Source organism: Homo sapiens, chromosome 12 (genome assembly GCF_000001405.40).
Source record: "Homo sapiens chromosome 12, GRCh38.p14 Primary Assembly".
NCBI classification, from domain to species: domain Eukaryota; kingdom Metazoa; phylum Chordata; class Mammalia; order Primates; family Hominidae; genus Homo; species Homo sapiens.
Genome location: NC_000012.12, coordinates 69,358,694 through 69,374,051, shown reverse-complemented (window position 1 = coordinate 69,374,051; position 15,358 = coordinate 69,358,694). Strand labels below are relative to the sequence as shown.

At 38.7% G+C, this 15,358-nt stretch overlaps 1 protein-coding gene across 8 annotated transcripts in view, besides 4 other annotated features; it reads right to left on the bottom strand.

The window, feature by feature from the left end:
* Nucleotides 1–14,309, bottom strand: part of YEATS4 (YEATS domain containing 4) — a 67,330-nt gene extending 53,021 nt beyond the window's left edge. For 7 of the 8 annotated variants that reach the window (XR_944742.4, XR_007063126.1, XR_007063128.1 and 4 more), the window contains exons 1-6: nt 14,029–14,309; nt 11,145–11,264; nt 8,353–8,419; nt 8,168–8,262; nt 3,254–3,346; nt 3,077–3,164 (exon numbers count right to left, since the gene is read on the bottom strand). Coding sequence is in view for 2 of the 8 variants with exons in the window: in NM_006530.4 (NP_006521.1) it covers nt 3,077–3,164; nt 3,254–3,346; nt 8,168–8,262; nt 8,353–8,419; nt 11,145–11,264; nt 14,029–14,079 (514 nt within the window). In the remaining 6 variants the exon portion in view is untranslated. The remainder of the gene's footprint in view (nt 1–3,076; nt 3,165–3,253; nt 3,347–8,167; nt 8,263–8,352; nt 8,420–11,144; nt 11,265–14,028) is intronic. The other variant, NM_001300950.2, reaches the window with a different exon arrangement.
* Nucleotides 13,360–13,961: an enhancer, noted in NCBI's record as "NANOG-H3K27ac-H3K4me1 hESC enhancer chr12:69753871-69754472 (GRCh37/hg19 assembly coordinates)". NCBI's record gives its function as "activates a minimal SCP1, AML or CMV promoter by ChIP-STARR-seq in primed H9 embryonic stem cells {active_cell/tissue: H9 hESC(primed)}" and the evidence as "EXISTENCE:reporter gene assay evidence [ECO:0000049][PMID:30033119]".
* Nucleotides 13,775–13,934: a silencer, noted in NCBI's record as "silent region_4653". NCBI's record gives its function as "represses an Ori minimal core promoter by ATAC-STARR-seq in GM12878 lymphoblastoid cells {active_cell/tissue: GM12878}" and the evidence as "EXISTENCE:reporter gene assay evidence [ECO:0000049][PMID:35858748]".
* Nucleotides 13,962–14,565: an enhancer, noted in NCBI's record as "NANOG-H3K27ac-H3K4me1 hESC enhancer chr12:69753267-69753870 (GRCh37/hg19 assembly coordinates)". NCBI's record gives its function as "activates a minimal SCP1, AML or CMV promoter by ChIP-STARR-seq in primed H9 embryonic stem cells {active_cell/tissue: H9 hESC(primed)}" and the evidence as "EXISTENCE:reporter gene assay evidence [ECO:0000049][PMID:30033119]".
* Nucleotides 14,215–14,404: an enhancer, noted in NCBI's record as "active region_6650". NCBI's record gives its function as "activates an Ori minimal core promoter by ATAC-STARR-seq in GM12878 lymphoblastoid cells {active_cell/tissue: GM12878}" and the evidence as "EXISTENCE:reporter gene assay evidence [ECO:0000049][PMID:35858748]".

The following is a 15,358-nucleotide window of genomic DNA, read 5'->3' as shown; positions in this document are numbered from 1 at the left end:
GACTTCAAATTATACTACAGAGCTATAGTAACCACAACAGCATGGTACTTGCAGAAAAAGAGACACATAAACCAACGGAACAGACTAGAGAACCCAGAAACAAATCCACACACTTACAGGGAACTCATTTTTGACAAAGGTGCCAAGAATATATACTTGAGGAAAAAAATGGTCTCTTCAATAAATAGTGCCAGGAAATCTGGATATCTATATGCAGAAGAATGAAACTAGACTCCTATCTCTCGCCATATACAAAAATCAAATTAAAATGGATTAAAGACTTAAATCTAAGATCTCAAACTATTAAACTACTAAAAGAAAACATTGGGGAAACTCTCTAGGACACTGGACTGGACAAAGATTTCTTGTGTAATACCCTATAAACACAGGCAACCAAGGCAAAAATGGATTAACGGGATCACATCAAGTTAAAAAACTTCTGTACCACAAAGGAAACAACAAAGTGAAGAGACAACACACAGAATGGAAGAAAATATCTGCAAACTACCCATCTGTCAAAGAATTAATAATCAGAATATATAAGGAGCTCGAACAACTCCTTAAGAATCTGATTTTAAAACGGGCAAAAGATCTGAATAGACATTTATCAAAAGATGACATACAAATGGCAAACAGGTATACGAAAAGGTGCTCAACATCACTGATCATCAGAAAAATGCAAATTAAAACTACAATGAGATGTCATCTCATGCCTGTTAAAATGGCTGTTATCGAAAAGACAGGCAATAACAAATGCAGGCGAGGATGCAGAGAAAAGGGAACCCTTATATACTGTTGGTGGGAATGTAAATTAGTAAAACCACTATGGCCAACAGTTTGGAGATTCCTCAAAAAACAAAAAATAGAGCTATATGATCCAGCAATCCCACTGCTAGGTATATATCCAAAAGAAAATAAGTCAGTATATCAAAAAGATATCTGCACTTCCATGTTTATGTTATTGCAGTACTATTCACAATAGCCAAGATTTGAAAGCAACCCAAGTGTCCATCAACAGATGAATGGATAAAGAAAATATGGTACATATACACAAGAGAGTACTATTCAGCCATAAAAAAGGAATGAAATCCTGTCATTCCAAACAACATGGATGGAACTTAAGGTCATTATATTAAGTGAAGTAAGCCAGGCACAGAAAGATAAAACATTATATATTCTCACTTATTTGTGGGAGCTAAAAATTAAAACAACTAGGCTGGGTGTGGTGGCTCATGCCTATAATCCTAGCACTTTGGGAGGCCAAGGTGGGTGGATTAACTGAGGTCAGGAGTTCGAGACCAGCTTGGCCAACATGGTGAAACCCTGTCTCTACTAAAAATATAAAAAAAATTAGCCAGGTGTGGTGGTACACACCTGTAATCCCAGCTACTAGGGAGGCTGAGGGAGGAGAATCACTTGAGCCTGGGAGACAGAGGTTGCAGTGAGCCGAGATCATGCCACTGCCCTCCAGCCAGGCCAACAGAGCAAGGCTCTGTCTCAAAAAAAAAAAAAAACTCATGAGATACAGAAAACAGAGTAGAATGACGGTTACCAGAGGGTAGGAAGGGTAGTGGGTAGGTGGGTAAAGGATGGTTATTGGTACAAAAAATAGAAAGAATGAATAAATTAAGCATTTGATAGCACAACAGGGTGACTATAGTCAATAATAATGTAATTGTACATTTAAAAATAACTAAAAGAGTATATTTGGATTATTTGTAACAAAAAGGGTAAATGCTTGAGGTGATCGATATCTCATTTCCTGGATGTAATTTTTAGACATTGTATGCCTGTATCAAAATATCCCATGTACCCAGTAAATATATATACCTACAATATACCCACAAAATTAAACATTTTAAAGAAGTTAAATCTGATGTCATTCCTTTGCTCAAAACTCACAAATGACTTCATATCTCAGTTTAATAATCTGAAGCCCTCATAGTTACCCACAAGTCCCTATATGACCTAGTCCCCTATTAACTTCTCTGATCTCATCTCCCACTCCTCGTCCTCTTGTTCACTCTACTCTAGTCACACTGGACTTCTTGCTGTTTTTCAGCCATGTACTTACCTGAGGGCCTTTGTCCTCACTGCTCCCTCTACATATAATATCCTTCCCTTAGATCACTCCTTTACCCCTTTAGGTCTCCAAATGCTCAGAAAGCATTTCCTGACTGACATTTTGATATCAGTATCTAAAACTCCAACCATCTCGTCCCACCAAAGATGCTCCCTGCCCCACTTTGTTTGTCTCTATAGCACTTAATCACTACCTTATACTTCCTTGTTCTGTTTATTTAATACCTGTTTTCCTCCCACTAGAATGTAGGACCCATGACGATAGGGCTTTTTGTCTGATTCAGGCACTGCTCTAACCTCAGCAGCTAGCACCTAGAACAATGGTTGGCATTAACTGGTACTCACTATATATTGTAATGAATGAATAATCAAAGAAATGACTGAACAGTAACATCAGTGTTAACACAGGGATGTCAAATAGATTTCATATTAAATGCCAATTGCAAATGACTGAGAATAGATGCACAGATTAATGCGTACAGAATTCTGAGACCATGTCAGCTTAGAGAGAAAATACAACATGACCGATTATCAATGTGGCATTCAGGTAGTCAACACTTGAGCATTAATCTGAAACTATGTAAAATGACATCAGCAAAAATATAAGATAAACTAGTTCACAGTATATAAAAGTATAATTATGGTTTGCAAGGTTCTTCACACAGATTTTGTTAGCAAAGACTAGTAAACAGAAAATGATAGGCTAAGCAAGACTAATAAAAAACTATACTTAAATGTAATTAGGGAATAAAACAGACAAACAGTACTTCAGCGAATGTAAGAGGCTGTCTTTCACCCTTCTTGAAAGCAGGCCTACTTGGGAACAATTTAAAACATCCTTTTTACATGTTCCACTGTAATACAAACTGTGTTTTTTAACACCTAAAAAACTTACCTATTTCATTTTTTTAAAGTGTAAAAGGCACGAATCATACAACCCTTTCACTATTACAGAATACGTTATTTTTCAGAATTATGAATGCATGGCACTTACATTCTGTTTCATGCTTATAGGCTCCTAATGTTAGCTGACGAGATGTTGTCAATAATTGTTGCATCATTGCTGTTGGGTCTTGAAATATCTAATGGGATAAAATGAACAAAAACCCAATAACTTCAAAGTTCTCCAACTTCAAATGCTTTTAAAACTATCATTATAAAATCTTCTTACCATTTCATCATAGAACTCTGAAACCACTGTCTTTTTCCCCAGCATTGCATTGGTGTCTGATTGAAACAGCTTTAGCAAATGATACAGGGTTACCTGTGAAATAGAAACAGATGTCAAATCTGTGCAATGGTTTTTATCATCATAAGATACTGGCATTTTTTTAACTGAAATAGAGACTGGAATAAGTATATACATGTCAAATTCATGATCTTGTTTCAACTGCAACTTATTGCAGCAAATCACCCAAATTTTCTGTACCTTTATTTTCCTATTAGATCCATTCATATCTACCTAACATGAATACTCTTTAGAGGGTAATTAAGAATCTGTTCAAGAATCTCTAGAGAGGAAACTAAAAATAACACAAGATAAAGCTATAGAAATTAAACTGAGAAATCACTAAAACATGAATTCTTTTACTTACACAAGTGGATTAATTGTGACTGCTTTGAAGATTAGAGTTTACAAATTTACTGTGGGGAATGAAAAAGTTCAGTGAGGGCAAGATAATTTCTTTGGGGATCTATAAGATTATTACATAAATGACATAATAAATAAATAAAAAGTTGGTCAGTAATAATTCACTTTGGCAAGAGCAACATGTCTTCAAATACCTAAAAACAGGTATAGTAAGACATCAAAGGAAAAGCTTTGTAGCACAATGTGTGATTATTTCAGCAAAATAAAATCTAGTTCGGAAAACATCAGACTTCATGTTGAAGTTCTGAAAACCAGACCCCAAATAATTTTCTAAAAAGTTAGCTAGCATAATTGTAAGAGAATGGTACTCTTCAAAAAAGTCATGAAATAGGGAGCAAGGAAGGGTACACTGAAAAAGTCAGAAAATATAAAATTCCTTGCAACTGAATTTAAACAAGCACCATCAACTCCCCCTAAAGACAATCTAGCTCAATTAACAGAATGTCAGATTTCCCTGGACATGGCTCAGCAAGTGGAAATATCCTACTTAAAGGACATCTTCCAGGCTCAAGATGATGCACTAAGAATGTAGAAAGGGGAGGAGGGAAATGCACAGAATTCTACTAAAATAACAGCAAAATAAGAGAGCATGAATTACATATCAAATTATTTAAAGCAAATAATTTAACAAATTTCTGGAACAGACAGAAAGCAGATGAGTCTACCAAGAAGGATAATAAACAATGACACCAGAGAAAAACCACAACCTGAAAACTTAAGAAAACTGCCTAAGAGGTGTGAGCCAGAGCTCCCAGGAGCCCTACAGTGCTCCAAGCTCAGAACTGGCAAGTATCAAAGTCAAGAATGCTATGGGGTAGCTAGGCCTCTTGACTTTCTCTTCTCTCTCCATTCATAGACAAGAAAGCATATCTACCTTTAGTGCCTAGAATTTTTCTCCCCAACAATGAACTATGAAGAAAAAATAAGGACATTTCAGATGGGCAATATCTCTGAAAGTTTATTTCTCAGGCATCCTTTCTGAAAAAATTCCTTTGGCAAAATGAAAAAAAGAAACTTGGAAAGAGGACGAAAAAGGATCACCTATAATCAATCATTAGGCACTGAAAGATACTATCTGAAGCTGAGAAATCCAGTATTAGGGATTTAAATATATGAGATGCACAGGAGTGAGTAATTTCTAGAGGAATTGAGAACAGGTAACTGTTAAAAAGCAGTTTTCTTGGAAAAGAGGTCAAAGATGGGATAAAGATGTTATGGGCTGAATTGTGACCTCCCTGCAAAAGGTATATTTTGTTTGAGATGGGGTTTTACTATGTTGCCCAGGCTGGTCTTGAATTCCTGATCTCAAATGATACTCCTGCCTCAGCCTCCCAAGTAACTGGGACTATAAATGCAGGCAAAAGATACGAAGCCCTAATTCTCAGCACCTGTGGATGTGACATTATTTGGAAACAGGGTCTTTGCAGGTGTAATTACAATGAAGTCATTAGGGTGGACCACAATCCAATATGACTGGTGTCCTTCTAAGAGAAGAAGACACAGAGACCAGGGAGAAAGATAAGGCCATGTGACAATGGAGGAAGATATTAGAGATATGTTGCCAAAAGCCAAGGAACATCTGGGGCTGGAAGAGGCAAGGAAAGATGCTCCCCTAAAGGCTTTGGAAAAAACATGGCCAACACCTTGATTTCAGACTTCTAGCCTTCAGATCTGTGGGAATAAATTTCTGTTGTTTTAATCCACCCAGTTTATGGTACCAGAAAACTAACACAGAAGACTTACACTTATTTCAAAAATCTTCTCTTAAAACCATGTGCACAACTGACTTTTACAATTAAGAAATTCTTACAATTACATTGTAAAACTGTCCTTCCCTAAATTTATTATTCAGACTTCCAGAGGCATTCATGCGGATATAGGCAATAAAAACATTTCAAGACAGATGTCTGTAATTTTGAGTGGTGTTTGAAAATTCTTAGAACAATGAAACTGCCTATACTTGCCTAGAAATCCCTATTTCTAGGAATGAAAACTCAATTTGACATTTTGCTTTTAGAAACAACCATTCTTTTTATAGTGGCTTGATCTGTATAATAGGTTACTGGGTAGCAGAAGTAAATCACAAGTTGTCTTCCAACCAACTTGTCTTTCTTAGATATTTTAAATAAACCTTCACTGGACATTTTCTGTAAGAGCTAACTATTGAAAAAGTACAATAGTTTAATAATACTAAAAAACCCTATAATATTTTTTAGAGAATAAAATTCAGGCCTATGTAAATCTATATGGGAATCTATTAAACAGATTAATCACTATAGCAGTGCAATAGGTTATATACCTTTCTAAGAGTGACTTCAAGAGCTGTCTCATAATGAGGTTACAGGGTACAATGATTTCTTTCATAGATTTATTTTCCAACTGGGGATAAGGGGTAACAGATGAGGAGACAGGGAGGTAAGGCAGCATATTCTCAAAATAAAAATGAAAACCCAGCAATCTTACAAAGTTAAAAAGAGCTTCTACTCTAGTAACATATGAGCTGCTTCTCTCTCCCTCTCAACATCTGCTAAATTCTATGCTCTCTTTTCCCTAATAAACTATTCTCATTAAGGTCAGTGTCTCATTTTTGTATCCTTCTCAATCCCTTAAACAATATCTTACAAATAGCAGATATAATATTTAATAATTTCTTGACCGGTCATGGTGGCTCATGCCTGTAATCCCAGCACCTTGGGAGGGCAAGGCGAGAGGAATGCTTGAGCCCAGGAGTTTGAGATCAGCCTGGGCAACATGGCGAGCCCCTATCTCTACAGAAAATAAAAAATTAACTCAGCATGGTGGCATGCATCTGTGGTCCCATCTACTGGGGAGGCTGAGGCAGAGGACTGTTTGAGGCCAGGAGGTGGAGGCTGCAGTGAGTTGTGTTTATGCCACTGTACTCCAGCCTGGGCAGCAGAGTGTAACTCTGTCTCAAAAGAAAAAAAAAATTATTGCCAAACAAAATATAACATGAGTGTGTTTTCCTGAAGGGCAACACAGATGGTAGGAGATCTAAAAACTTCATCACATGAAAACACAAAAAATGTTTAAATGAGCTATGGATGCTTACTCATGAGAAAAGAAAACTAAGGTAGGAATAGTAATCAGTAAAAAGTTCAGGGAAGCGTAACGAAGTACAGCTTTCTTAAAACTAAAACTACCCCAACCTTGAATAGGATGTTTTACTTAGTGACATAAGTTAATTCTCCATATTGGAGATATGCAAGCCCAAACTAGATTCTCATTTGAGATATTGCCTAAATAAATTCCTACGTAGGAAGAAAAGAGTAAGTCTACGTCATTGGGTCCCAATTCTCATTGTGCATCAAAATCACCTGGGGTGCTGGCCCCATTCCAAACCTACTGAATCAGACTCTCCAAAAGGTGAGGCCTAGGAGCTTGAATTTTTAAAAAGCACCTCACAAAAATTAATAAATAAATAAGCAAGCACCTCAGGTGTTTCTGATGCAGCCAGTTAGGAACCGGTTTGCTGAAATACTGGTCCAGGTGATATTCAGCTCCTTTAAAAATACATACACAGTTTAAAAAATATAATCTGATAATTAAAATGTAAATGTTTGGTGCTAAAAGACTGATGTGATTCTAACAAGATAAAATGGTGATGAATGTGAAAGCCTTGAAACTGGAGTTAAACCCCAGCCACATATGTGGAATGTGAGAGCCATTACTGAGTTTTGACCCTACAGGCTTAAGAAAAAAAAAGGCCTAGTGGTTTTACTCAAAAGAAAAAATACTAGAAAAAGGTATGAATGCAAATATCTGGGTTCAAAAACTAGCTCTACCATAATTAACTGAGTGTTTTTGAGCAGTGACTTGACCTCTGAGCCTTGGTATCCTGATCTCTAAAATGAGGGTATCACAACCTAACAAAGTTGCTGAAGGATCAAAGCAAAAGCCTGGAGGGATTTTTTTTTTACATTATCAAGCAACAATCTGATAAGAAGAGATCAAAAGATGAAAAAGCCAGTGGCTATAAAAATAAAGACTCATAAATAAGATATAAAATGAAGCGCTAGTACTGATGACAGCTTAAAAAAGCAAAAACACTGTTTCTTAGGGTTTAACTACCAAAAACTATAAAAACTATTTTACACAGCATATGGGCTCAACTTATTTATTACTAATAACCGAATGATAATAATAGTTTTAAGTTTTTTTGCTGCAGTAGTCATCTGATTTCCATGGTTTCTTTCCAATACATGTTCATATTATATGTTTTTTTCCATACTTGAAAAAAAAAAGGATTTTGAAAGGCGCTACATTTAAAAATGAAAAACTTAACTCATGGCAAGATACACTGTGCCATAAATTTACATAAAACACATCTGAATGAACACTATTCATTAAGTATTATTACATGTTCACATTTACTAAGAAATCTATTTTATATTTACAAAGATTAATGCTACTCACAGGTCTTTCATTAGGGTCAATGAAAAATATTTTGATGATTATTTCGAATTCACCCCATCCTGTTTCAGTAATTTCATATGGAGGTTTAGTAACAACTAAAGACAGAAAAAAAATAGTAAATTATCGGTTTAGTTTCCTAGCCATTTTTAACTTTGGATATTGTGAATCAAAAGACTATATTGTACCTCTTAAAGGATTGCCATAGCTTTCATGTAATTTAAACTGGATTTTCTTCACATATGCTGACATATCCTAAAATATAAGGAATTAGTTAGTTTTATGATCTACAAATGAAAACTAGGAAAAAAAATACACTGAGCGTATATACTTAGTTTTATAAAAAACATACTTCCCTTCAAATTTTATGGAATCTAATTTTCTAAAAAACATGAACTACACCTGGGAAGTTATTTTGCTTTTTTTTTTTTTTTCCTGAGATGGAGTCTCGCTTTGTTGCCCAGGCTGGAGTGCAGTGGCATGATCTTGGCTCACTGCAACTTCCCTGACCCAGGTTCAAGCAATTCTCCTGCCTCAGCCTCCTGAGTAGCTGGGATTACAGGCGGCTGCCACCATGCCTGGCTAATTTTTTGTATTTTTAGTAGAGACGGGGTTTCACCATGTTGGCCAGGCTGGTCTCGAACTCTTGACCTCAGGTGATCCACCTGCCTCGCCCTACCAGTGTGCTGGAATTACAGGCGTGAGCCACCGCACCTGGCCTATTTTGCTTTTTTTAAAAAAACAAAAAGGAAGCCTGTGTTGAATTCTTTTATGATTTGTAATGTATAGAAATACACGTCCCAAATTAACTTTTTTTTTGGCAAATCTTGTTTTAATACACCTCTATAGATAATATTCTAAATCAATTTTGATTTTTTTCCATTAAAACAACAGTACATATCTGGTACTATTACAGAAATATAAGGCAAATCTATAGTCAATTTCAAAGAACAAAATTATATCACATACGCCGGGCACGGTGGCTCACGCCTGTAATCCCAGCACTTTGGGAGGCCAAGGCAGGTGGATCACCTGAGGTCAGGAGTTTGAGACCAGCCTGGCCAACATGGGGAAACTCCATCTCTACTAAAAATACAAAAAATTAGCCAAGCATGGTGGCGGCGCCTGTAATCCCAGCTACTCAGGAGGCTGAGGCAGGAGAATCACTTAAACCCAGGAGGCGGAGGTTGCAATAAGCTGAGATCACACCATTGCATTCCAGCCAGGGCAATAAGAGAGAAACTCCATCTCAAACAAACAAAAAATTATATTACATAAAGCTAAGGACAACTAATTTAAAGCAATCTAAGATTGTTGAATACAAAAACTCCTCATTTTCTTTATTTTAAAAGTACAGAAGCATATTCATTAGTTATGGCAAATAAAAGGGTTTCTGTTGGCAAAAGTGGCTTTTAAAATATATAATTCATTATAGAAGAATAAAAAAATGCAAAGCAATAAGTCACATTCAATAGTAATGTTTATTAACTTTTTAATTTACTTTTAGGAATTTTTAAATTACTTATATCTACATTCATATCTAACTTTATTATTTAAAAAATAAACTGGAATCTTACTATAATGATACCTTTTTTTTCTGTAGAGATGGAGTCTTACTATGTTGCCAGTCTGGTCTCAAACTCCTGGGCTCAAGCGATCCTCCCGCTTGGGCCTCCCATAGTGCTGAGATTACAGGAATGAGCCATTTTGCCTAGCCAATGGTTTTTAGTTATATTCACAGAGTCTCATAAGAATCACTACAATTTTAGAACATTTTTATCACACAAAAGAAAGCCATATCCATTAGCACTTACCTCAATACCCTTTCTCCCCCACCCACTAGCAACCACTTATCTATTTTCTTTGTCTATGGATTTGCCCCTTCTGGACATTTCATATAAATAAAAGCATATAATATTTGGCCTTTTTTATATTTGGCTTCTTTTACTTAGCATAATGCTTTCAAGTTTCATCCATGTAGTAGCATCTTTACTTTATCAGTACTTTACTTTTTATTGCTTGATAATATTCAATTGTATGGATATATCACATTTTATTTATCCATTCATCAGTTGATAGACAAATGAATTGTTTCCACTTTTTGGCTATTATGAATAACACTGGTATCAATATTCACATGCAAGTTTTTGGGTAGACTCTGAAGGGTTTTAAATAGAGGAATAATTTACTCACTCAATAAATATCTGTTAAATGCCTACTATGTACTGGCTATGTTCCAGGCATTGAAGATTCAGCAGTGAAACAAAATTACTAGCAATCAGATGACACAGCAGAGCTGTCTTTCACATTCTTATTACCACATTATTACTTTAAGGATTAGCTGCTTATTCCTGAAACTCCTGATTAAATACTATGTTAACTTAGATATGATGTTAGGAAGATGTACTTGTACTGTATTTATAGCATAAATAGTTCTTGTTATCTTAATTTTAATTAGGAAACATTTTTGGAAAATTGATTTCTAGTATCATATGAAGATGACAGTTCTCTATTTTTTCAAAAACTTTTTGACAACATTCCTACAACGGACCAATTTTATAATCAGAAAGTTACTATAAAAAATTACAGGTTGTCGGCCGGGCGCGGTGGCTCACGCCTGTAATCCCAGCACTTTGGGAGGCCGAGGCGGGTGGATCACGAGGTCAGGAGATTGAGACCATCCTGGCTAACATGGTGAAACCCCGTCTCTACCAAAAAATACAAAAAATTAGCCGGGCGTGGTGGCGGGCGCCTGTAGTCCCAGCTACTCGGGAGGCTGAGGCAGGAGAATGGCGTGAACCCGGGAGGCGGAGCTTGCAGTGAGCTGAGATCGCGCCACTGCACTCCAGCCTGGGCGACAGAGCAAGACTCCATCTCAAAAAAAAAAAAAAAAAAAAAAAAAAAACTACAGGTTGTCTTTAAGCAAAACAAATTACAGACAACTTTAAGTAAAACAGTTACAGAAAAAACGAGTGCCTACCTCATTTCTATATGGTTTCACATATACTGTCCACTGATGAGTGTGCCCATCTTCTTCTCTTTTCTTTCCAAAATACCGAGCAACATTACCGTAAACTATTGGTTTAACGATAGTAACACCCTAAAAGAAAAATAATTTTAAAATAAATGAATATTGTACCATTAGCTAAATATGCAGAATAAGAGCTCTGAAAACTTGCTTTAAAGAATGGCAGGCTAACAATCTATAGTTTGCTTATAATATGGATTTCTCTCAAATCAATTTCAGACACATCCTTTCATATTAACACAAAAAACGCCAGAATAATTACAATGTTCCCTCTTTGAAAATGCTTTTATTTAAATTACCATGTAAAGCGCTTTTAGAGTGTTGTTAAAAGAAATGCAAAAGGCCTTTTCTTAAACACCTGAAAGCTAGGCATTGAAATAAAAATGGCCAATTCTGACTGGCATCACCTGTGGCAATGTCCTTATCACCTAGCCTGTGGCAGTGTTTCCCAAAGTATAGTATAAATATTAGGAGTAATTTGTGAGAGGTAGAATAAAGGTCAAACATTTTTCACTTTTTTACTTACGTGTTTAATCAGTATTAAAAAATAGTAATAACTGTAACTAGAAATTAAAACCTACAATTTCACCAAGGTGGGTGGATCACCTGAGGTCAGAGGTTCAAGACCAGCCTGGCCAAGATGGTGAAACCCCACCTCTACTAAAAATACAAAAATTAGCTGGGCTTGGTGGTGTGCATCTGTAATCCCAGCTACTTGGGAGGCTGAAGCAGGAGAATTGCTTGAACCTGGGAGGCAGAGGTTGCAGTGAGCCGAGATCATACCATTGCACTCCAGCCTGGGCAACAGAGCGAGCCTCTGTCTCCAAAAAAAAAAAAAAAAAAAAACAACCAAACACCCTACAATTTAAAAAACATTAACGCTTAGAAAGAGGCTTTTAAAAAATAAACTGATTTAAATGTAAATGTTACAATAAATATTACAGTTGAATTCAGACATGGCAAAAATGGCCAAGAGTCACTTGGATGACTGAAGCTTGGTAAATAGTGGCTGATGACATGTTTGCTACATTTGTCCTTAGTTTAACATACATATTTCTTATATCTGATAAGTGCAAAGGCAGTGCGTATTGACAGATTATGTTGGAAAGATAAAAAATTTCAATTGAAGTGAAAATATTGAATGTTGCACATGAATCTGAAACCAATGGCTCAGTTACAGAAATGTATCTGAAGAACAATGAGCAAGATTTACCACATGTGAAAAGTGCTGAGTGAATGTAACCAACAACAATAAAAATGAAGAAAAGCGGCCAGGCACGGTGGCTCACGCCTGTAATCCCAGCACTTTGGGAGGCCGAGGCGGGCAGATCACCCGAGGTCGGGAGTTCGAGACCAGCCTGACCAACACGGAGAAGCCCCCGTCTCTACTAAAAATACAAAATTAGCTGGGCATGGTGGCGCATGCCTGTAATTCCAGCTATTCAGGAGGCTGAGGCAGGAGAATCGCTTGGAGGCAGGAGAATCGCTTGAATCCAGGAGGTGGAGGTTGCGGAGAGCCGAGATTGCGCTAGTGCACTCCAGCCTGGGCAACAAGAGCAAAACTCCGTCTCAAAAAAAAACAAAACAAAACACACACACACACACACACACACACACATAAGTATTTTAAAACCTACTAATTATTGCTATTTTTTTTTTAAAGAAACATTGTCTTGCTCTGTCGCCCAGGCTAGAGTGCAGTGGCACGATCTCAGCTCACTGCAACTTCCGCCTCTCGGGTTCAAGCGATTTTCCTGCCTCAGCCCCTCTAGTAGCTGGGATTACAGGTGCCCGCCACCACGCCCGGCTAATTTTTGTATATTTAGTAGAGACGGGGTTTCACCATGTTGACCAGCCTGGTCTTGAACTTCTGATCTCAGGTGATCCACCCTCCTCGGCCTTCCAAAGTGCTGGGATTACAGGCGTGAGCCACCTTGCCCGGCCCTGCACGTTAATTTTTAAGGCAGGACCCACTGGCTCCTGATAAAAACAACTATTTGTACCCCTTCTGATTTTTATTTATAAAGGAAAGGAAATTTTTCTTTAAAAAGAATGAACCACGGCTGGGCGCGGTGGCTCACGCCTGTAATCCCAGCACTTTGGGAGGCCGAGGTTGCAGTGAGCCGAGATCGTGCCATTGCGCTCCAGCCTGGGCAACAAGACAGACACTTCGTCTCAAAAAAAAAAAAAAATTAACGTGCCAGGGGCTGTGTGAGGGAAATAAATATTACAATGTCAAACATTACGCTAGGGTCTATGGTAATTTCATCAAAAACAAAAGAAGTTGACATTTACTGAATGTTCCCCATGTGCCAGGCACAGTGTTATGCTCTTGCTTTGAGGCTTTGTGAACACCATGAACTCCAGCAAATTTTCTTAGCTTTCGTATGCCTCGGTGTCTCAGTTACCGCACTTGGAAATACTGCGGGTAAGCGCTCAGCGACTGTTTGCTACAGTTATTGTTATCCTCACACCAGGAGGGTGGCGTCACCGCTTCACCAATAACCTAGATTGGCAGCGAATGTGCACCAAGCTGAGCTTTCCCAGCCCTCGGAGTCGCCCGTTTCCTTGGCAGCCACGTCCGGGTTTCCCCAAGCCACCATTTATCTGTTTGTTTTTTGGCGGGGGTGGGAGTTGGCAGTGACGCGAGGAAGTTGGGGCCCAATGAACGCCGGTTTTTCGCTCAATGGCTCTGACTCGCTCTCCAACCTGAAACCACGGTTCAAACCCGAGGAGAAAAGGCGCGAAAGGAAACCCAGTGGGCCCTCCCCGCGCCGCGCAGGGAGGAACCGAGGCGGGAGAGCCACCCCGGAAGAGGGGCGGTCCGGGCACTGACCTTTACTCTCCCGCCGGAGTCAGGCCCAAATTCGGCCATTCTCTTGAACATATTGTCCCACGGAAGAAGCCGCCGCCGCCAGGGAAAGAGACCGGGGCTGGCGGGGTCGCCGCTCCCCTCAGAGACCGCGCTCCTGTCGCGCGGGCCCAGGCGGAGGGTTTCTAGCCGAAGGAGGGCGAGTTACTTGGGCTCACGGCGGTGAGTAACCGTCAACTCCTCAGGCCGACTGTGCTCCTGAAGGCCATTCAGGCCCGCGCAGGTGGAGAACGCCGCGAAAAGAGGGGCGACGGCCGCACCGCGCGCAGGCGCAACGGGCTCGCGTATGCGCACGCAGTGTACACTGCGCACGCGCCTGGCGGCTGCAGTCACATCACAGGACCAGTGCAGGAGTTCCAAACCAAAAAAAAAATGAAAGGCAGGAAATAATAAATGACTTCAAAAAGTTGTCCAGATGTTAAGGAGATGAGTTTCCACACTGAAAGATCCTACTAAGCACCCAGCACAAATATTAAAGCATCCACGTCAAGGCATATCATTGTGAATTTTCTGAACATCGAGGAAAAAGAGATCCCACACCCTTCCAGGTTATACAGACTATAGAATCAGAGTGGCTTCAGATTGCTCAGTTAGAATCTAGGAAGCCATACGGCACTGTCTTCAAAACTCTGAGGGAAAATTACTTCCGATTTAGTCTTCAATACTCATCCAACTACCAATCTAGTGTGTGAATAGAATAGAGTTTCAGATGTGCTAAATCACTACACACAAAAAATAGTACCTATCTTACCTTTCTCAGTACCTCCAGGAAGATCCTGTAGATCTGATCCACCAAAATGAGGGAATAAGCCAAGAAGGAGGAAATTATGAAATGCAGGAAATACAATAAATAACAAACACAGAAAATAGTAAGATCCCAAGATGATACTGAAAGAGCTCCGGGAACAATAGCTGTGTATAGGCATAGACGGCAACGCATCTAGATTAGATTCGGTCAGAAATCTTTGGGAGACACTGCTTCAGAAGGATGGGATTGACAAAATTCCAGCTGGCGTTGAATCAAGAGGAGATTTGACCGAGAGTTTGGAGTTTAACTCATGACAGGTACACAGAAAACTAAGCGGCTGTAAGAATTATGCAGCTATTAATTCTAGGGAAAACAAAATCTTGTGCAAGAAAGGAAAGTAATTGTATTTATTGTTACATAAATACTGAGTATTGGCCGGGCGCGGTGGCTCACGCCTGTAATCCCAGCACTTTGGGAGGCCAAGGTGGGCGGATCACGAGGTCAGGAGATCGAGACCATCCTGGCTAACACGGTGAAAACCCGTCT